This window comes from Homo sapiens, chromosome 12 (assembly GCF_000001405.40).
Source record: "Homo sapiens chromosome 12, GRCh38.p14 Primary Assembly".
NCBI lineage: Eukaryota > Metazoa > Chordata > Mammalia > Primates > Hominidae > Homo > Homo sapiens.
Window position 1 is genome coordinate 25,706,229 of NC_000012.12, and position 23,470 is coordinate 25,729,698.

General features: G+C 38.7%; 1 annotated feature.

Moving 5' to 3' along the window:
• Positions 4,564-5,763: an enhancer, noted in NCBI's record as "MED14-independent group 3 enhancer chr12:25863726-25864925 (GRCh37/hg19 assembly coordinates)". NCBI's record gives its function as "activates an origin of replication core promoter dependent on BRD2, BRD4, P300/CBP and CDK7 cofactors, and independent of MED14, by STARR-seq in HCT116 cells {active_cell/tissue: HCT116}" and the evidence as "EXISTENCE:reporter gene assay evidence [ECO:0000049][PMID:35650434]".

Consider the following 23,470-nt stretch of genomic DNA (forward strand, 5'->3'; position numbering starts at 1 on the left):
CCCTCATGAATGACTTGGGCTTTCCCCTTAGTGAGAAGTGAGCTCTCATTCTGAGTTCACACAAGATCTGGTCACTTAAAAGTGAGTGGCACCTTCCCGCAACTCTCTCTCTCTTGCTCCTGCTTTTGCCATGTGATGTGCCTGCTCCCCCTTTGCCTTCTGCCATGACTGGAAACTTCCTGAGGCCTCCCTAGAAGCTGAGCAGATGCCAGTAGCATGCTTCTTGTAAAGCCTGCAAAACTGTGAACCGATTAAATCTCTTTTCTTTATAAATTATCTAGTCTCAGGTAATTCTTTGTAGCAATGCAAGAATGGCTTAGTAAAATAAATTGGTACCAAGGAATGGGACATTGCTATTAAAATACCTGAAAATGTGACAGCAGCTTTGGAACCGGGCAATGGGCAGAGGTTGGAAGAGTTTGGAGGGCTCAGAAGAATACAGGAAGATGAGGGAAAGTTTGGAACTTCTTAGAGACTAGCTAAATAGTTGTGACCAAAATGCTGAAAGTGAAGTCCAGGCTGCTGAGGTCTCAGATGGAAATGAGGAATTTATTGGGAATTGGAGCAAAGGTCACATATGTTATGCCTTAGCAAAGAACTTGGCTGCATTGTGTTCCTGCCCTAGGGATCTGTGGAAGTTTGAACTTTACAGTGATGATTTAGGGTATCTGGCAGAAGAAATTTCTAAGCAACAAAGCATTCAAGATGTGGCCTGGTTGCTTCTGACAGTGGAAGCAAAGAAATGACTTAAAGTTGGAATTTATATTTAAAAGGGAAGCAGAGCATAAAAGTTTGGAAAATTTGCAGCCTAGCCATGTGGCAAAGAAAGAAAAAGCTTTTTCAGGAGAGGATTTCAAGCAGGCTGAGGAGCAAACACTTGCTAGAGAAATTTACATGACTGAAAATGAGCCAAGTGCTAATAACAAAGATAATGGGAAAAAGGCTTCAAAGGCATTTTGGAGATTTCCCATGCAGCCCCTCCTATCACAGGCCCTGAGGCCTAGGAGGACTGAATGGTTTTGTGGGCCAGGCCCAGGTCCCTGCTGCCCTGCACACCCTTGGGACAAGCTCCCTGCATCCAAGCTGCTCCAGCTCCAGCTGTGGCTCAAAGGGGCCCTTGTACAGCTCAGGCTGCCACTTTAGAGAATGCAAGCCATAATCTTTGGCAGTTCCCACATGGTGTTAAGCCTGCAGGTGCACAGAGGGCAAGAGTAAATATGGCTTGGTAGCCTCTGCCTAGATTTCAGAGGATGTGTGACAGAGCCTGGGTGCCTAGGTAGAAGCCTGCTGTAGGGGTGGAGCTTCCACAGACCACCTCTACTACAGCCATGTGGCGGGAAAATGTGGGTTTGGAGCCCCACACAGAGTCTCCAATGGGGCACTGTCTTGTGAAGCTGTGGGAAGAAGGCTGATGTCCTCCAGGCCCCAGAATGGTAAATCCACCAGCAGCCTGCACCTTGTACCTGGAAAAGCTGCAGGTACTCACCTCTAACCCATGAAGGCAGCTGTGCAGGCTATACTCTGAAAAACCACAGGAGTGGAGCTGCCTAAGACCTTGGGAGCCCACCCTTTGTACAAATGTTCCCTGGATGGAGTCAAAGGACATGGAGTCAAAGGAGATTATTTTAGAGCTTTAAGATTTAATGACTGCCCTGCTGGGTTTCAGATGTGCATGGGGCCTATTGCCCCTTTCTGTTGGCCAGTTTCTTCCCTTGGGATGTGAATGTTTACCCAATGCCTGTACCACCATTGTATTTGGGTGGTAAATAAATTGTTTTGATTTTGTAGGCTCATAGGTGGAAAGAGATGAGTCTTAGATGAGATTCCAGACTTTCAACTTGATGTTGAAATAAGAGGACATGAAGTTTAGGGAGCAGTGGGTAGAATTATATGGTTTAGCTATCTGTCCCTTCCAAATCTCATGTGGAAATGTAATCCCCAGTGCTGGAGGTGGGGCCTGGTGGAAGGTGATTTGATCATGGGGATGGGTCCTTCCTGAATGGTTTAGCACCTTTGCTTTCCATCATGATTGCAAGCTTCCTGAGGCCTCCTTAGAAGCTGAGCAGATGCCAGAGTCATGTTTCTTGTAAAGCCTGCAGAACCATGAGTCAATTAAACCTCTTTTCTTTATAAATTACCCAGTCTTGGGCATTTCTTGATAACAATGCAACAATAGCTTAATACAACTTCCATCCTGGTCCACACATAAATTACCTCTTAACCTATATCCCTTTATCAGATCCTTCCTTCAGCCCATCCAACAAGAAACAATCAAATAAGTCTTCCTTAATTGTTATTGAATTGTCTCATTCCATTACTCAAAAATACCCAGGACCTTAAACACATTCAAACCCGTCTTTCTGAATCTTCTCATGCTCTCCCTTAAAAGAATGACTCTGTGCTAGCCAAACACACACACACACACACACACACACACACACACACACACACACACACACACGCATATTCATTAGTCTAGAAGTGTCCCCCAAAGTCCTATCCCCAAAACTGTTTCCCTTCACTGCTCATGTTTGGAATGAACCACACCTTTCTCAATATCTGAATACTACATTTCATTTATGCTCCAGCTCAAATCCTTTCTCTCCCTTAAAGTCATATTAGGCCACTGCATTCCACAGCAACTTCCTGTCCCTGGAAGTCTAATCTTTTACAAGACTCATTGAATCATATTCTGATTTTCAGTATATTTAATTTTTCGTGTGCATATGTCAAAACCTCAGTGAGAGGATAACATTCCTGAAGGTAGGGACAATCATTTATTCCTTTTCCTTTTTATGTATTGCCATATAGCCAAGTATAATAACAATTATTGTTATTCAAAGCTAACTGTATTTATGGTACTGTGCCAAACACTTCATTTTATCTTATTTAATTCACCCCAGAACTCTTGAGGGAGGGACTAGAATTAGCAATTTATCAGGTGAGAACATTTAAGCACAGAGAATTTGAGTTAGAGGAGTTAGTAAGGTGGTTTGGAACCACTTAGGTATGTCTGACTCTACAGCTTATGCAATTAATTAGCATTTTATAGATTGGTTAAACATATCGCTTTATGAGATCTTACTGGACACATATACAAATTTTCTTTCAAAGGCTTCTGGGGAAACCCAAATACAGGATTCATTTTAGAGATTATATATTTCACAACAGAATTAAGTTTCTAAGACATTTTTCTTGAATTTGTATTGGAAATCTTAAAATAATCAGAAAAGCATCAAAAAATACATTTATTTAGTCTCATGGTTGTTCAGAATTGAGACACAGGAGAATAAATCATGGGAGGCCATGTGACACCTTTGTGTTCTCCATTCATATTTTGAATGAGACTTGGGAACCACTCTTTACTGTTGGGTTTTAGGCTACTTGCCGAGGTCTCAGCTAAGGAGAGGAATAATTGTAATTTATAACATTTTAATAATATATAAAGATCAAAATTAACATAAAATTTTAAATATTGAATATTCCATGAAGTTTTTGTGTGAAATAGAGAGTTGTTTTGTTTTGTTTTGCTTTTACTTGTCTTTCTCAATAATTTCAGTGCATTCATTTTTTAAATGCTGTGGGGAGGTAGAAGTATGGTAAAGTTATAATGAACCTTGTCTAAGATATCTTACAGTTTTAGATTCTTTAATCAGAGAAGTGCATGAACTCTCTTGAGCCTTACTGAATTTTAAAAGAAGCCAACCGAATTCAAAAACTTCACCATTCAAGGATATTAAACTGAACTTACCCTTTCTGTGATGCATAGTAAATAAAATTGGGAAAATCTGAACCTGATAAAGAAACTCTACTCCAAAAAGTGCAATGTCCAACAGAAATCATTCCCAAAATATACTTAAAATATTAAAAGGCCATATTTTTATTTTATTCTTGTTTGTTCTATAAAAATACAAACGGATAGGAAGGAAATGATCATTTCAATCAACATTCAGTGGTAATTAAAAGCAATCGTAGTCCTTGGGCTGTTTCTTTCAAATATGATCCAGTGATCAGAAGGAATTGGAAATGATTACATTTTAACTCAAAACACATTTCCATCCAGAACTGAGCTTCCAAGCATGAAAAAGGCACAGTGGTGGCCCCTGTTTGTGTTTCCATCTGGGGCTCTAATTTGAACTTCAGTGATTATTCTGCCAGATTTCTGACTGTGCAGAGATTCAGAAAGTCAAAGCAAGCATATTCTTGTATGCTGTTTCATGCAAAAAAAATAAAATTGCACCAATTACCATGTTTGCATTTTGTAGAATGGCTCTATTTAAATGGATTATATGTTAAACAAGAGCATTTGTAAAATTCACAGCTCAAAGTTAATCTGGCTTTATCCCAGGCACCCAATCTGAAAAGTAAGTGATTGTAATCACACTGAGAAAGGAAGTTAGCAACAGTTTATATTGAAAAACAATCTGGATCAATTAAATTTAGCTTGATTTTCAAATTAAGAAATATATCCCATGGTTGGTCTTCCATTTGACTTCTTCAAACCCCATTAAAAATGCTCATCTCTTTCTGATATTCTGTTAGTGCTTCTAGAATGACATGGTCATTAATGATAAGGATAAAAGCAGAGAAAAATATAAAGCCTCATGCCAGGAATTAGTCTTACAAAACACCTGGAGGCCGTTGTATTGCTCTGACTTCACTGCTCCTGGCACTGGGAATTTCTGTTTTCTGTGGCCAGGAGAGAACAGTGAAGTCATGAATGTTTTGATGGGAAAGAAAAGAAGATGGCTTTGTGGGCCCTAAGGAGATTGACAACTTACTATATTTGATGTGAAATGCACAATCCTTTTATTTTCTTTGTCCAAATGCCCATGACTCTCTGTTAGAAATAGATAATCGGTGCCACGAAGAAAAGTCAGCACGGAGACAAAGGACCTCTCAGCAAGGCAATCTTTGCTTTCTGCAGAAAGGGTGCTCCATGCATTTGGAACAATGGCAAGGCCACACCTGAACAAAGAAAAAACAGACATATTTATCCCTTATGCATTTGGGTCATCCTTACTGCTGTGTCCTGCATCCATTGGCTGAAGCTAGACCTTACATTCTTAAACTGATACCTGATTTGCTAATAACCTAAAACTTTCCTAAATAGGTAAGTGCATGGGAGAACAAAGAAGGAGAGGAAGTTGCTTATGAAAGGTTTAAGGAAGCAATAACATTTCCAAATAAGGAAGGGGCATAAGCTATGAGCTGAGAACTTGCCTGGGCCTGTCCAGTCATGCCTGAGTAAGTCAAAGCAACTAACTGGGCTAAAGTGTAAGAACTAATAGTTGATAGGAGGCTTTAGAGTAAGAAGCTATTATTCCTAGTGTCTATTATTTTATTTTTAAACTAAGACAAGCTTTGAAGAGGAACTTTTCTACTTTCTACAATCTCTACTCTTGATTCTTATACTGGGAATTCTAATAGTTACTTAGAATATTTAGTATATTTACTTAAATATTCTAAGTCACTATTAATATTATACATAAGATTGTAAAATAACAGAATAATATTACTACCTCTATCCATAAACATTTAGTGACTCTTTATTACCAAAACATTTTTCTCTGGAAGATAAGGAAGAGAAACGCTCTAATGGGAAAGGCAGACTGATTCTTAGGAACAAGTCAACATTCTCAGGTGGCATGTTCTTTTTATTCTTTCATTTCCTTTCCTTTCACAAACATCTATATGATGTGTCCTATTGCCAGGCACTGTTCTAAGCACTTTACAAATATTAATTCATTTAAAGTCTCATGTCAATGCCATAGAGTTGTACCTTCTTTTTTTTTTTTTTTTTTTTTTTTTTTTTTGAGATGGAATTTCACTCTTGTTGCCCAGGCTGGAGTCAGTGGCACGATCTCAGCTCACTGCAACCTCTGCCTCCCAGGTTCCAGTGATTCTCCTGCCTTAGCCTCCTGAGTAGCTGGGATTACAGGTGCCTGCCACCATGCCTAACTAATTTTTGTATTTTTAGTAGGGATGGGTTTCGCCATGTTGGCAGGCTGGTCTCGAACTCCTGACCTCAGGTGATCCACCCACGTTGGCCTCCCGAAGTACTGGGATTTTAGGCGTGAGCCACAGCGCCTGCAAGTAGTACTATTTTTAACCTCACCTTACAGATAATGAAACTGAAACACAGAGAAGTTAAGTGAGTTACCCAAGATCATACAATTGTAGAGCCAAGATTTTGAAACACTGTGTTCTGGCTCTTGTTGCTTAGACACTCTCATGGTGCAACAAGCTTGTCGCACACGGAGACCATCAATAAAAGCTGTTTGACAACATGAGGTTTGAGAGCAAATGGTAAAGTAATTTTAGGTTAGGTTGTATAAATTGTATAGCTTAGCAATGTTTGTTATATTAAAAGGTCAAATCTTTTAATGCTGCCATCCAATCTATAGCTGCATGTATGTGCTAAGAAAAGTGTATATCAGTCAGATGATCTGTCTATATGACTTTTCTTACTAGCATGATGTAATAAGGATAGATCTTTAGAACATAGTGCTAAGATGAAAAATAGGAAATAAATTTATATGCATTTATCGCAATACTATTTCTGCAAATTAAAAATATGTGCAACATAAAATCATTATATATATTTTACAAGTACATATACCAGAAAAAAATTATACACAGAAAACACATTAAAAGAGTTGTTTATGAGAGGAGACAAATGGGAAGAGAGGATGGGGATAAGAGGGAATAAGTAAAACAGGAACAGAGGCTTAAAGGGATCTTTCATCATGGACTAAGGCTTGTGATTAATTTAACCTTCTTATAACAGGTCTAAAGCAGGGAAAAAGCATCTATCTAACCACTTATCCATGCATATATATGTTCCTCTTATCTATGCACGCATGCATGCAAACAAGGGAAAATGAAATTGTTTTATGTGTTGCTGATTGTGATGGTTAGTTTTATGTGTTAGCTTGATTGGGCCGTAAGATGCCTGGATATTTGGCCAAACATTATTCTGGGTCTGTCTGTCAGGGTGTTTCTGGATGAGATCCATATTTGAATCAGTAGACTGAGTAAAGCAGATTTCTCTCCCCAGTGTGGGTGGGCCTCATCGAGTCCACTGAAGGCCTGAATAGAACAAAATCCTGAGTAAGGGAGAATTTTCTCTCTGCCTGACTGTCTTGTAGCTGAGACAGTGGTCTTCTCCTTACGCATGGAACTCAAACTGAAACTTGGACACCGTCAGCTCTCTTGGTTCTCAAGTCTAAAGACAGTGATTTGCATATCTGCTTCTACTTTCCATTTGCTGCAATGTGTTGTGTTGGTTGAAGTATATGGAGACAGTCTCACCTTACACAGCTATGTAGTTGGAAAAAGAAGAAATGTTTTAATGGCCAAAAATATTCTTCTTTGATACTATACCAAAACTTTACAAATAGTAGCTTTTTAACGGTTATTGTAATGTGGGATCTAAAACCATATCAATGAACTTTTTATATTGTGTTACATTAAAATACACTGGTCTATATTATACCTTGAATGAATCTTTTACCCATGTATGATTTTGTAATATGATGCATTTGGTCATTTGAAAAATATTGATTTATTGAGTTATGCAGATCTTCAGAATGTTGACACATTTCCTCAAACTTCAAAATATCACACTTGTTAATATCCACATAATAAACACAGATCTCATAATTAAGTCCTTTTAAGTTCTAGGAAGCTTTCAGCTCACAGTGGTAGATACAAATTTTCCAAAATTCAAATTTCCATTTGAAAGCTTTAATTTTATCATTGGCAATAAATGCCTGTTACTTTCCTAGAAGTGACAGGCTCACTTCATTTTTCATAAAATAACTGTAGCTGTTATTTTAAGCATAAATGTTCAGCTTGCAACTCAAACAATGGCTTTTCCTATAGACAAGCGTTGTACTTTGGCATGCAGAAGGGCTTAATGTGTACAGAATATTAAACAGATGTGTACTCAAGGGTAGAGATTTAATAAATTTTCACTGTTTTATCAAGGACATTATTAAGTAAAACTTAGTGCATGACAATGAAGAAGACAATATTTAGTGCCACCTCCGTGTTTCCCGCTAAGACGCCAGCAGATTTACTCACCATTGCTTTTTACTACAAATGCAGATGTCAACACAGTAAGTAGAGAATAACATCTTAGCACCATTATAAAAATAGTTTTGAAATCAAAGGAGTCCCAGGGGTCCACAGACCACACTGCTGCTCTACAATGTGATATCAATTCAAACTTGGCACCTAAAGAATTTACGTGCTAAACTTATCCCAAAAAATGACCTAATGAAATCTGATTCAGGCACTTCCCAGGTCTCAAACAAGAATTAATCTAGTGCTTTCATAGCCATCTGTTAATTAATTAATAGTGTATTTGCCTTAGTGATATTCGGGGTGCTGCTCTTTAAAAAGTTAAATATGTAAATGAATTTTCAAACTTTCTAAACTTCTTATTCAGAAGGATTTCACAACAACCCCAAATGAGATTGCCCATTAAATCAGTGAGCAATTCTTTTGCTTTATGGCTTATTCACAGGGTGGTTCTGAGGCTGTTTCAGGACCAGGCTGGGTGATCAATACTTAATAAACCCACAGACTACAATTCATGACATCACTTTTTTGGAGTCATCCGTTCAATCCTGTTCTCAGTCCTCCACTACTACATTAAAACCTACAGAAACACTGCCAAAAGTGTCCTAGTTTTTGCCCTAGAAGCAGACTCAGAGGCCCCTGAAATTAGTTCTCTGAGATATTTTCTATGTTTCTGCACCCTCCCTCCCCACCGCACCCTTTTCTTTTGGTGGTCATGAAGTTTTGTTCTGTTTTAAAATCAGCCAGAAAAGGAAAGTACTAGTGCCTTATAGCACATGTAATTCATCAAGAACGTGAATACATCCCACTTCACATTCAATCAACAAACACCTCTTGATATCCTCATAAAGATGCTGGATTTAGTGCAGGGGATTTGGGAGTGAGGACGATAGTAACAACATTATGAAGAGAGAGAAGTTACAACTCTTGGCCTCAATAAACCAAAATCATTTTTGGGAAGAACTACTTGGGCTCATGTGAAAGGTCCGTGATGAATCAAGGCAAATGTCCAAGGAGAAGTGAAATGAGTAATACCAAATCCATGCTATTCCTACAACTGCAAACACACTCCTGGTCTCATGACTTCTTCATTCAATGCTCCCTTGGCCTGGAAACTTTATCCCTCAGCTTTCCATACTTTATGCATCTCTCTGCTCAAATGCCATCTTAGTGGAGGAGGCTTTCCCCTATCAGAAATTTCTTACCCTGTTTTATTTCCTTTACAGGAGCTACCACTGCCTGACACATTATATATTTTTTGTTTGTTTGCTATTGTCTGCCTCACCCCATTTGAATGTAAGTTCCAGAGAGCAGGGATTTAATTATTCACTGCTATATCTTGGTCTAGAGAGTTTCTGGCTCATAATAGGACACAATAAATATCTGAAGAAGGCCGGGCATTGTGTCTCACGCCTGTAATCCCAGCACTTTGGGAGGTCGAGGCAGCTGGATCACCTGAGGTCAGGAGTTCATGACAATAAATGTCTGAAGACTGAATTAATAATGAATGCCATAGTAGCTTAGAGCATGGAGAGAAGACCAGTGGGTACTAACTAGATGTTAAGGAAGTACTTCACAGGCTGAAGTGCGAGCTTGGCCTTGACAGGTGTTTCCAACATGTAGGGCCAATGAGCAGAGCAGTCTACTTGTTTTACAGGGCTCAAGCAAGATGCCATCTTCTCAAGGAAGCATTGCCAGGGCTTCCAGGGCTGGGCAAGTTACTTCTGCTTTGGGTTCCTGTAACTGTCCACATTCTCTCCCATGTCCAGGTCACCCAGGTGTGTCTTATCTGTTTACCTGTCTGATTGCTCTAGTAGACTATTATTAGGTCGGAACAATAGGCACAGTGTCTTATTCATAGTTGCATATCTAGCCATACTATAGATGCTGTTATGGGATAGCAATCCCATAAATACTTGCTAACCATATGATTTAATGAACGAAGAAGAAAGCTCCTGTGGGAGGAATGAAAGGCAGGTATGGACAAAACTATGAAGATTCATGGGGCAGAGTCATGGAGTTTGGGTTTTGGTCATGGAGACGTTGTGACAACCAATTATCTTAGCAAGATCAATATGAGCATGTTGTACGTGATGAAGGAAGTTAAAAAAAATATTACAGAGATGAACTATAACCATCCTACAATGCTCTAGGCACAAAATAATAAGGGCCTGGGCCAGGCTGGTGGTGATGGGAAAAGTCTGAGGGTACAGATGTAGCCAAAAGTCTTGGTGATTGATTCAATGTTAAGAACAGCATAGGTGACTGCATATTTTAAGCCTGGATGACTATAAGAAGGTGATGGAGTCCCTCTAACCCATATTTCAAATCTCAAGGCTTGTAAGAAAAGAGTATTTGGCAAATTATTCATGATAATGGCATTATTTCCTTATTCTAGCAATACTTAATGGTGGAATCTGTAAGAATTTATTTGTACAGCCCATACACTGATATTAAGCTTTTAGACAAAACTTAAAAGTCCTAAGATTAAATTTTTTTATGAATGCTGCCAGTTATCTATGAGAAGTTGTTCAGTTCTAAGACATAAAGGTAAAGATATTAAAATATTAAATTTCATCACATTCTTCTTCAGAAGTGTCACAGAATTTAGGGCTTTGAGAAACTTCAAAGCAAACAAGGCAAACAAGATTTTATCTCTCATGAGAATGATCTAAGACTCCACACATGTGCAGTGATGCATGGACCAGGCTAGGATGGGTGTGTAGGGGAAATGGCAGCACAAGTACCAGATGTTTTCTCTTCCTGCCTTGGAAGTCAGCTTTGGTGACTCCTCTTTTGCAAATAAGAAAGTTGCAGTAAGATTAACAAGGAAGATGAACTACCCAAGGTCACAGGGCTGATCAGAGGCATGATTCCTTACACTCAGGTGAGGAGCAGAGCCTAACACTTTTAACACTTTACACAACACTACAGTTAGAGGGATAGGTAAGTTTCAGAAATGGCAAACTTTGGTCCTCTCTATCTCCTCTCCAACAAAGGAAGACAAGGGACTCAGGAGCAAAGAATAATCAGAAGTATTTAAGAAGTTATTAGAGGATACAGAAAATCTGAAATGCCAGAAAATTCATGTGAAGAAGAGGTTCAAAGATAGGGTCTCAATTGGTTTTGTATAAATTTTCTCCTCTGGCTTCTGAATCTGGATCTCTGTCAGTGTCATTTGTATCTCATTTTTCTAATCGAAAGCATCTGTATGACTTAGGAGTATGATACGGGACCCGTGCTTTCCATACTATATTTAGTTGTGTTCTTCAGCATCTGATCTGAACAGATTCAGGGATTCATTTGGTAGCATCTTGATTTCATTTTTCTTTCTCCTTCTCTCACCTCGGTTTTTTACTTTTTGATTCAGTTCTTAGATCTCTTCGAGTGATAGCAAAACAGCCACTGTTCTGTCTTCTCAACAACCACAACTAAAGGTCTTTTTCTCAATGTTCCAAGGGCCCCCAAATTGAATTTTACCGGCTTTTATTACATTATATGGTCTTCCTTGAATCAATCATTATGTTAAGAGAGTGATAATTGACCAAATGTAGGTCATGTGCTCACAGATGGAATGAATTGATGGGTCAATGACATCCACAGTTCATGAACCTTAGTGAAAAAGAATAGTTTTCCTAGACAAAAGTAAGTGTGCTGTTAGCCAAAAGAGAGAAAATAGATGTTGGGCACAGAAATGGCAGCTGTCCACTGTACCCACTCAATCTAGTTCAAGTAAAAGTGGATTTCTTCCGAGGAAACATGTTGATTGGAACTGGGCCTGGACTGTTTTCAGGAATGAGACAACTCTAAAGACCCTGCTCCCCTGCCCTTCCTTCTTTGCCTAGTTCCCCATATCCTTTCTGTTCTTTCTGGAAGATTCTTTCAGCTTAAGCATAGGTTTTGCTTTCTCCTACTTTAGTGTGGCATGGACCCAACTCTCTCTAGTGGCATCTCTCATTGCATTCTTTTAGTTTCTGCATTGTCTTCTCATTGCCTCATTCTCTCCATTTCCTAACTCCAAACTTAAGAACAGAAAGCTGGTGGTTTAAGTTCATTGTATATCCATGTCAGAGGTAATATGCCACACACTAGATATGGCAATCTGTGGCTTGCCTACCAAGTCCAGTGCTAATTCTTGTTCTAATCCGCTTAGTGGTGATAGATGCAGGAGGCAGATAAGGGGGAAGGTCTTCAGGGAATCTCCAACTAGCCTTCACACTGGGAGGATGGGGTGGAGCCTCAGGAAGTTCACTCCGTTTACAGCAGGGAGGAGCCTCTCCTGTTCCTGGGTGGCAACCTGGCATTCAGTCAGTGAGGTGGAGAGCCTGTTAGCAGGACTACATCTTACTTTGCTGAGTTGTTTTTCCTTTTTCCTTTGTGCCCAGTAAATTCCTCTTCTCACACTTCTATGTGTCCACAAGCCTAATCTTTCCTGGTCATGTGACAAGAAACTGTTTTTTTCCCACAACAGTGGGAATGGAAGGAAGATGTTCTTAACCCCCTTGGCCAGACCATGCATGGGCTGTAATATTTCTTTTAGCAAGGGGTGTTGGAAGGACAGCTTTTGTTGAATAACTTCTCATAGGTGAAGTCCCAAGCACAGTATCAATGACATTCCCCTAATAACTTTACATTCCCACACTCCAAATCAATTACTTCCCACCTTCCAGGATCCTCTCAGCACCCACCCTCCCTGCATTCTTCTCAGGGAAAGCGTATGCGGTCTGAAAGGAACCATTCTATTCTCCTGTCCCTAAATCTACCAGCCCACGTTCTTATCTAAAAGCCGTCTACATCACCTCGGCTCTGAATTCTACCCCATTCCCTTTCCCAAGGATTTCTCTCCAACCATTATCAGTTTCCTAAGATACATTACACGTTTCTCCCTGTGTTCATTATCTGTGCCTTCCCACTTATGCCTGTCCACTAGAAAACAAGGCACGAATGCAGTGTGCTTCATTTGACAAGACTCCCGGCCCCTGGATCAGCAGCTTGACACATAGTAGGCTCTTGATTAATTTTTGTGGTCTGTTTGACTAATTTGAGTGTGGTAGTTCCTCAATAAATAATACTACCCCCTTTCATATTCCCTTCCTTTAACTTTGTTCAGTGTTTATTTTAGACATTTTCTGTTTAAAGAAACTTTCCTGTAAACAAAATATGAATATCAATCCTTTTGGTAGAAAAGCATGCTTACTTTGTTGGTACTGAAGATCAGTAATACATTGATTTGCATATGTTTTCCAGAAATATGAATGTGCTCTTCTAATGTCTTTTTCTTGACTCATTTAGTTTAATTTATTAAGAATTCCGGAATGTCTTCCAACTGATGATGCATTTCATGGTACGCATATAGCAGAAATAAAATGCTTTGCTCTCAGGAAGCTTCAATCTATTAAGATAACAAAGATTGCATCTGCAAGGATGTTTATCACACTTTGGTTTATAAAAGGAAAACTCTGAAGTAACCCGAATGCCTTTATCAACAAATTAGTCAAATAAATTGTAACTGGCGAAGAAGGCTGCTTATTGTAGCAGTTCTGAAATAGCAAAAGACTAGGAAGATTCCAAATGCCCACCAATTGTGGACAAGGTGAATAAACTAAGGTTACAGCAACAAAAGGAGCACTATGCACCTGTAATCACAGATATACTGTTAAATGAGAAAAGCCATGTGTATGGTGTGTGTATGCTATGTCATCTTCCAGCTAAGGAAGAGGGACACTACAGATAGTTACACACACACACACACACACACACACACACAGAGTAGCTTACTTTAAAAATGCCAAGATATACTAAAAACTAGAGGCATGGGCTACCTTTGGGTCAGAATGGGAATTGGGTGAGGGGATGAATATGACAGTTAGTTTTTAAAAATATTTTGTAGATTTTACTCTGGAAATATATGTACATCATCCAAAAATATAAACTTAAAAATCAATTCTTAGAATAAGAAAGCTGAAAGAAAATAATAAACCTAACTATTTTTGAGTTGGTGACTTTACCACTCAGAGAAAGTTTATTTCAAAGTGACTTTAAAACAGTAATTTTGCCGTATATCCCTGGTGGGTTACATTCTAAGAACAAAAGAAGTGAAAAAAGTCTCCTCAGTAATCAAGGCTCTTCTCAGTAATCATAAAGTTAGTTTTAGTATATTGTCATTCTGATACTATTGTAATAAAAAGTAAATAAATATTTATATTATTTCATTTAAAAACAAAGGCGTTCAGTGAAAGAAGGAAAAGATACAAATACAAGTCAAATAAGTAAAAATCCTGTAACCAAAATTGGTATTGGAAGTATTAGTATGGACTCCTGAACTATTTTTCTACCTTTGACCACTGAAAAGGTCTAGAGACCTTGGTCAACCCAGCAACTAGACTAGGGATTCTAAATACCTTTCTCCATTAAAAGGAACTTTGTAGAAAGGCTTGATTCCAGATCTATGGCTTCCAAAGTCAGGACAATTTGATTATAGAAAGGAATAATAATAGCAGAGGACTTAGCATATTAAATATGTTTAAAATCATTTGCTTACCCCAATAATAATTTTAAAAAGCTCATTGTTGAATTTTTCCAGTTGTTAAGGAATAAGCTCATTATTCTAAAATTTGACTTTTAAAACTCAAGCATTTATACACCTTTTCTGTACAAAGAGCACTTCAAGGTAACCAAATAGTTAATGTAGGAAAGCCATATTTTTCTAGAAGAATTCCAGCTAATATATGAAGAAGAAATTATAGAATTGGACTATCTCAATTTTGTAATCTCTAATGAAGTAACCATTTTAGGTGGTGACCATGGATAGCTACTAAAATTATTAGTTAAAAAGCTGATGAGGAACTTTATAAGGAAAGATTTGGCTGACATTACCTGTCAAAAATTGATCACTCTTAACATCATAGACAGGGAGACAACTTAGCATTATGTTCCTCCTGATGTGATAAAATAGGAAGAATTACATTCCTCCGGATGCAATGCAATATATTGTGATCCAGTAAGAAGTACACAACAACATCTATGAAATATTCTTGCAGAAATTTTAAAAAATCAAACTTGAATCTGATTAATTTATACAAATACAAGGGACTGAGAACATAATAAATGACACCACAGGGGCATAAACAAATCAGCAAAATCCACAATGTGATATATACTCCATAAGAATTTTTTCAATAAATAAATTGCAAAGGAAAAGAAAAAATGAACCTATATATTACAAGAACACTAGAGACATAACAACCAAATGTAATATGTGAACTTGCTAGGATCCTGATTTACACACACTAACTTTTTAAAAAGAAGAGAGAAGCATATAATATTCTCAATACCATTATTACTTTTTTCAAGAGTGATAATAAGTTTGGGCATATGTTTTTTAGAAAATCTTGTAACTTGCACAGGCTCATAATGAAGTATTTACAGATACGAGAGATGATGTTTGAGATTTACTCAAAAGAACCCAGTGTGTACAGGGGAAGGGAAATGAGGGTGGAGGTGGAGATTAAAGAAGACTGGCCATGTGCGGGTAACTGCTGAAGTTAAGTCACAGTCCCATGGACCATTACAATGGTATTATCTCTACTCTTTTAATACATGTGACAATTTCTATAATAGACATTTTTTAAAGCTGGCTATATCTTTATTCCATTTTCTTTCAATTCTTTCTGGAAAACTCTAAGATGACTTAAGGAAACAATGAACTATAAAAATTCCTCTTCAGAACAGTGTGAAATAATAATAAATTCAAAGGCATTAAATCTCTACTCTTCATCAGTTGTTTTAAAAGAAGACTATTTCTCACATCAGCTGACATGATGTATTTATGTAATGGGCTCCTGACTAGTAGGTTTTTATTTCATATGAAGGGAATACAGTATTCGAGTTACAAAAATTATGCATTTTTTAAAAACACAGATTGTTTGAAATTATTTTCCCTTACAGTAACATTCCATTCGCTTGACATTCAGTAGGACTAAGCTCTATTTTCCAATTTGCCAATCAAAATTGCAATCAAAACAATAGAGCATCTTTCTCAAGACCAGAATCAATCCCCCAAATCTTTTTACTCTTCTTTTCTACAATGACCCTGTCATCAATCCTGTGTCTAAGCTGACAAGGCTTCACAAGGGTTTGGCCATCTCCCCAACCAAATGGACTGACAGCCCCATCTTGAATCATGGCTAGACCTCAACCGTCCTAGGTAGCTGTAGGAATAAAGTGCTTCAAAAGAATGAATGGATTGCAGCAAATAGCTCACTTGAAATAAACTTTACACAGTTCCATGTTTCTAGTAATCAGAAAAATAAAGACAACATTTAACAAATGAAAGATGAGGTAGAAGAAGGATGGCACCAACAACTAAGTATAAGGTTTGATAGCAACTCCTGAAAATTGCCTATCATGTCCAAATGAAAGCAGAGATATTAATTTTTTCACATACCTGTGTATGTCTGTGTGAGCATAATAAAGGCAACATCACAGAATCCCTGAGTGTTATGCCACAGTGTATGCTGGAAAATTCTTGGAAAGGCAAGGCTCCCATTCTGCTTCACTGGCAACACAGGAATATGGTTACTAGTATATGTGCAGCAATCTGACTGCCTGGGTTCAATCACCAGCTTCACTATGAACTATGTAGAGAATATAATACCTTAGTTACTAAAAACTAATTGCATGGCTTTTTCCTCTATGTACTTCAGTCTTGTCATCTATGAAATGGAATTATTTAGCCTTGATACATAATAGTAGCGCCTTTGTCCTGGATTTTCATGAGGATTTTATGATGAAGCACTTATCACAGCACCTGGTGCACTGTTACCAAAGGGGAATGTCCACATCACACTGACATTTTAAATCAGTGGATCTGGATTGAGGCTTTTCTTGCCAAAGCCCGATGTAGGCTCTGCAGTAGATGATCATTGTCTAGTCCATCATTTATTGATTCCTTTCTCCATGATAACAGAATCCTTGTTTTTAGTAGGCCACATTGTCACCTGGCATAAAAGATGACACTTCCCAGCCTCCCTTGAGTCTGGGAGTGGCCATGTACCTAGTCCCAGCCAACAAGAATCAACTAAAAATGTTGTGTGGAACTTCTAGGAAATTTCCTTGAAAGAGGTGAATCTGCCCTACTCCCATCTCCTCCTCCACTCAGCTTCTTGGGATGTTGATGTCATGACTGAAACTAGGGCAGCCCATCAGACCATGAGGCTGGGAAAGCATCCATGGCCTTTGTAATACTACAGCTGCCTTGCCAGCCCCAATCTTTCCACTTCCAGACCGCTTGCAGGTGGGAGATAAAGTTCCAGCTTATTTAATCACAGGGTTTTTACTTTGAGTTGTCTCATTATTATTGTTGTTTTGTTTTGTTCATGCAGTCAACTAAGCCCTTTAGATCTGGTCAGAGACAATAAACATTGACTGAAAAATACATGTTTCATTTATGAGTGTCTGTGCTGGTCCATGTGTAGGTGAGAGGAGAAATACGGACCTACAGAACCAAGTAGAGGGACATAGAAACCAAGTGGAGGAACAAAGGCACACAGTTTTGGGAGGATCACAAGAATCAATACATGGCTATGAATCATCATTAATATATTGCAGTATAAACAGCATACAGAAATTTCTAGGGGACTCAAGACAAAAGTAGTAGATAAAGTAAGAAGAAAAGACAACTAGAGCTATTGTTAATGGCTCTGGAGCAGGAGGAGAGGAAAAATTTATTCAATTGCTGGGGTTTGAGAATGAGCCAAAGTATTTTGGCAGCCAAGCACTGAAAGTTGGTAATCTATAATGAATGAGACCCAGAACACCAAAATTGTTCCTAGAATGAATCCATCCTGAATTTAATAAAGGAAACATTCCCATCCATACTGAGAATTGTTAGTTCAATGGCAATTTTTAAAAATTTTGTTTGTTTCTCCAGTTATGGATCAAGGCACGAGCAATGATTTATGTTCTAAGAAACTGTCGGTTGTCGTCTTTCGTAATAGCAAATGCAAATCCAATGAAATCAGCACTAAAAATCCAGTCATGCTGGCTGACCTGGAATTGTCTGTTAAAAGCTGATTGATGGGTCTCATGTTGTGTTCTGTGAACAACCAGAGCATGCCAAAATACTCATCTCTGCATTGTGGCTGACCCATCTCTTCAGTAATTGTTTAACAGATTTTTAATTGTGCAACATATCTTCCATATGCAGCGCCAGTTACATTTCAAAGCTAGAAAGAACCTTCACATTCATCTACCACAGCCCCTGGGTTCAGGTAGACACCAGATAAAAAATAGTCAGGACTGGTAATTATATACAAAGCTTAAGTCAAAACTCCCACCAAATTTCCTAGGACCGCCTCTTCATACAAAATAAAAATGTACACGATTTCAATATAATCATTTCCCTTTGGTCCTCTGTGAACACAGGAATAGTGAATTGGAATCTTCCTAGAAAACCTTTCCCATTCTTGAAAACGAGCCAATTTATCCTGGTCCTTCTAAACAATTTCAATTCTTTTGACTTTTCATCATGTCACATTTGCATGTTTGTAGTTCCCTTTTCTGAATCTGTTCCATTGCCTCCACACTTTTTTAAAGGTTTGAGCCAGGCACCAGTGGCTCACACCTGTAATCCCAGCACTTTGGGAGGCTGAAGCAGGAGGACCACTTGAGCCCAGGAGTTGGAGACCAGCCAGGGCAACATGGCGAGACCCCATCTCTATAAAATCGCTTAATTAGCCATGCATAGTGGCATGCACCTGTGGTCTCAGCTACTTTGGAGGCTGAGGCAGGAGATTCACTTGAGCCCAGGAGGTTGAAGAGGCTGCAGTGAGCCCTCTTAGCACCACTGTACTCCAGCCTAGGCAACAGAGCAAGAATCTGTCTCAAAATAAAAGGGTCTCATGACCTAAACTGCACACATTAATCTGATAAATATCTGACTAACATGAATTCATGTATGAAGGAAAAATCATTTCCCATATACGACACATAAACTTTTAACATATTTTCATATCATCTCATTCGTAGAGCACACACACACAAGCACACAGACAAACACATACACACCATGTGGTCATTGATAGAGCCAAATTTACTACTATACTTCGATCTAGCTGGTGGTCCCTGACTCGTATCTGTGTGGATGGGGTCTAAGAATACAATTGAGACCTCATCTCTTTTCACTTCCATTCTGCTTTTGTGCACGACTACAGTATTCAAATATGTTGTAATAAGATGGTTGTGAGCAGTAGCTGTGGTTTAGAAGCCTTCAAACTAGTGTGGAAATTATTTCCAGGGAAAGATCAGGAACACATAACATAAAATTGGCTTTGGTGAAAGTCGTAAACTGTGGTGGAGAGCAACATGATGATTGCTAGTTTACTACGTGCCAAGCACAGTGCTCTCCTAAGCCTTGCAACAAATGCAAGGGGTAGATATTTTATTCCATTTTACAGATGAGAGAAATGACTTCCTTTAATGAGCCTGACTACAGGAGATAGGATTTCAGCCCACAACTGTCTGAAACCTAGACTTGTGCTCTTAATCATTAAGTTACAATGGTTACCTATAAATATGGATATGTCCACATAAAGTAGAATTTGGGTGAGATTTCTCATACTAAAGAAACTGAGAAAAACTGGAACATCTTCAAGAACCAAGCAATGGTAGTTTCTTAGTTGATATGAGAGTTTTCATAGAATGCTTGCCTTTCACTTGAAATGGTTTTGGCATCAGCTCTAGAAGGATGGTGCTCAGAGGCCTCTTGATTATTGCTTCACTGGTGACAACATCTGGCTTTCTGACATGAGAGTTGAAGTGTTTTTGTAATTACATCATGGTTGTGCACTCAGAACTAGCCTAGAATCTAGGCAGGGGTGGGGAATTAGTGCTATATAATAACGAATGGAAAAAATTCAATTTTGAGTACTAGATGAAAAAAACCAAGGCAGACAATTCTGCTTCATATACACATATGAAACCTTCTGTGATTTTATTTTTAAAGTGTTCCCCAGATGGTTTGGCAAAGGAAAAGTATATGTAGAGAAAAGACTGGAATGACTGAGGCCAGATGTTAGCAGTTAAGTTAGGGCTGTCAGATTCACCAAAGAAAAACACAGGATACTTAGTTAAATTTGAATTTCAGATAGACAACAAATAATTTTTCAATATAAGTAGGTACAAAATATTGTATGCATACATAACCTTAAAAATTATTTGGCTTTTTACTTGAAATTCAGATTTAACTGGGAGTCCTATATTTTATCTGTTAACGCTGCAGTGGGTGAACACAGATAGGTGTATATGAGTATTCAGTGTTATTCATTGAACTTTGTGACTTTGAAAGCTTTTAAAATAAAAATATTAAAGTGCTTTTCAAATGTTTATTTGTGTAATGATATTTTCATGGTTCTTAATATTAATTATAAATTTTATTGTGTAGAAAAAAGAGAATGATTTATATTTTAAAACTCTATTTAGGCCGGGCGCGGTGGCTCACCCCTGCAATCCCAGCACTTTGGGAGGCCGAGGCGGGTGGATCATGAGATCAGAAGTTCAAGGCCAGCCTGGCCAAGATGGTGAAACCCTGTCTCTACTAAAAATATAAAAAATTAGCCGGGAGTGGTAGCGGACGCCTGTAGTCCCAGCTACTGGGGAGGCTGAGGCAGGAGAACGGCGTGAACCCGGGAGGCGGAGCTTGCAGTGAGCCGAGATCGCGCCACTGCATTCCAGCCTGGGCGACAGAGCGAGACTCTGTCTCAAAACAAAACAAAACAAAACAAAACAAAACAAAAACTCTATTTACAGCCCAGAGACATTCGGGTGAAGGTGGGAGGGTTGAAACTGGCCAGAAAGACCCAGCTACAGCAAGCAGCCTGACCTGGGAAGGCTGTGTTCCCGCAGGCTCCAGACTCTCCTTCCCTGTCCAGAGAGGAAATCCCGCTATGCCTCTTCCAGATCAGGAGACACACAGCAGCTTAGCTTAGGGAAACCTCTTAACCCTCTCAGGAAGCACCTGTAGGGACCATTGAGAACCCCATCAACACCAGATAAACCAAGCTGACCAAAATAATGCCTTGGGGGCTCTGAAAATTAAAGTGTATCATATAAAGCGCAACACATAAAGGTAGGTCAAGGCCGGGCGCGGTGGCTCACGCCTGTAATCCCAGAACTTTGGGAGGCTGAGGCGGGTGGATCACCTGAGGTCAGGAGTTCCAGACCAGCCTGGCCAACCTGGTGAAACCCCATCTCTACTTCTCTACTGAAAATACAAAAATTAGCTGGGTGTGGTGGTGGGAGGCTGAGGCAGGAGAATCACTTGAACCTGGAGGCAGAGGTTGCAGTGAGCCGAGATCGTGCCATTGCACTCCAGACTGGGCAACAGCACAAGACTCTCTGTCTCAAAAAAAAAAAAGTAAGTCAAGATCCACGTGCTAAACCTAAACGGGGTGATTTCCTGCTAAAATAAAAAGATTTAAATAGGATCCAGAGTCTCCTAACATCATAGACAATATGTTTAGGATACAACAAAAAATCACCCGTCATACCAAGAACCAAGAAAATTGTAACCTGAATGAGCAAAGACAATCAGTTGACACCAATTCAACATGAATCAGATGTTGGAATTATGTGATGAAGGTTTAAATCAGCCATAAGAAAAATGCTTCAACAATTGAATACAAATTCTCTTGAAACAAATGAAAAAAGAAAATCCCAGCAAAGATAATGTCAGTTCTCTCCAGGAATATACCAGTGGATAATTTCCATTTCTTAAAGCAAAATCTTTGAAGTAAATATAATGAGTAAATATAGCCAAAGTAATGTGATATAAACACTTAATCAAGTATAATCAATGTCCAGAATAAAAGAAATGATGACTGAAAGGGCGAGCAAGACATACAAACTATCTGTGCTTGCATGGAATTTCTATTTTTAGAGTACTAGTGCTAGAAACAGAGTAATAACTTCAAAGTTGCACTAATCTAAGCAACTCAATTCTTACTTGCCTTAAGGCTGTTGCCAAGAATTTCACAAAAAGATTAAATGTTAGAAGTCTCTCTAACAAACTAAAGGGCTTGGCTTTCCACATGTTGTTCCACAATGGAATTGAAGCATTGCAGAGTTATGTAAATGGTTCCCCAAGCCACGTTTTTTGTAGGCTTATGCCCTGTTGAAGTGAAATGATGTGAGTCAAGGGCAACATAGATGTAGTCTCTAGGCCCCCACCTGCTGAGAAGACATGTGCTTTGATGTGTGCTAAATTGAACTGAACAGCACTTACTCCAAAGAAGCATTTGGTAACTGTATATATGATTAAAACAAATATTTGCACTTAAGAAATTTTCATAGCCCTAATATCCAGAATCTACAATGAACTCAAACAAATTTACAAGAAAAAAACAAACAACCCCATCAAAAAGTGGGCAAAGGACATGAACAGACACTTCTCAAAAGAAGACATTTATGCAGCCAAAAAACACATGAAAAAATGCTCATCATCACTGGCCATCAGAGAAATGCAAATCAAAACCACAATGAGATACCATCTCACACCAGTTAGAATGGCAATCATTAAAAAGTCAGGAAACAATAGGTGCTGGAGAGGATGTGGAGAAATAGGAACACTTTTACACTGTTGGTGGGACTGTAAACTAGTTCAACCATTGTAGAAGTCAGTGTGGTGATTCCTCAGGGATCTAGAACTAGAAATACCATTTGAGCCAGCCATCCCATTACTGGGTATATACCCAAAGGACTATAAATCATGCTGCTATAAAGACACGTGCACACGTATGTTTATTGCGGCACTATTCACAATAGCAAAGACTTGGAACCAACCCAAATGTCCAACAATGATAGACTGGATTAAGAAAATGTGGCACATATACACCATGGAATACTATGCAGCCATAAAAAATGATGAGTTCATGTCCTTTGTAGGGACATGGATGAAATTGGAAATCATCATTTTCAGTAAACTATCGCAAGGACAAAAAACCAAACACCGCATGTTCTCACTCATAGATGGGAATTGAACAATGAGAACACATGAACACAGGAAGGGGAACATCACACTCTGGGGACTGTTGTGGGATGGGGGGAGTGGGGAGGGATAGCTTTAGGAGATATACCTAATGCTAAATGACGAGCTAATGGGTGCAGCACACCAGCATGGCACATGTATACATATGTAACTAACCTGCACATTGTGCACATGTACCCTAAAACTTAAAGTATAATAATAATAATAATAATAATAATAATAATAAAGACTCCGTCTCAAAAAAAAAACCAATTTAAGAGCAAAAATATCAAATACCGCCAAATAAATGCAATATAAGGTGTGCAAGACTTCTATAAAGAAACCTATTAAACATTGTTG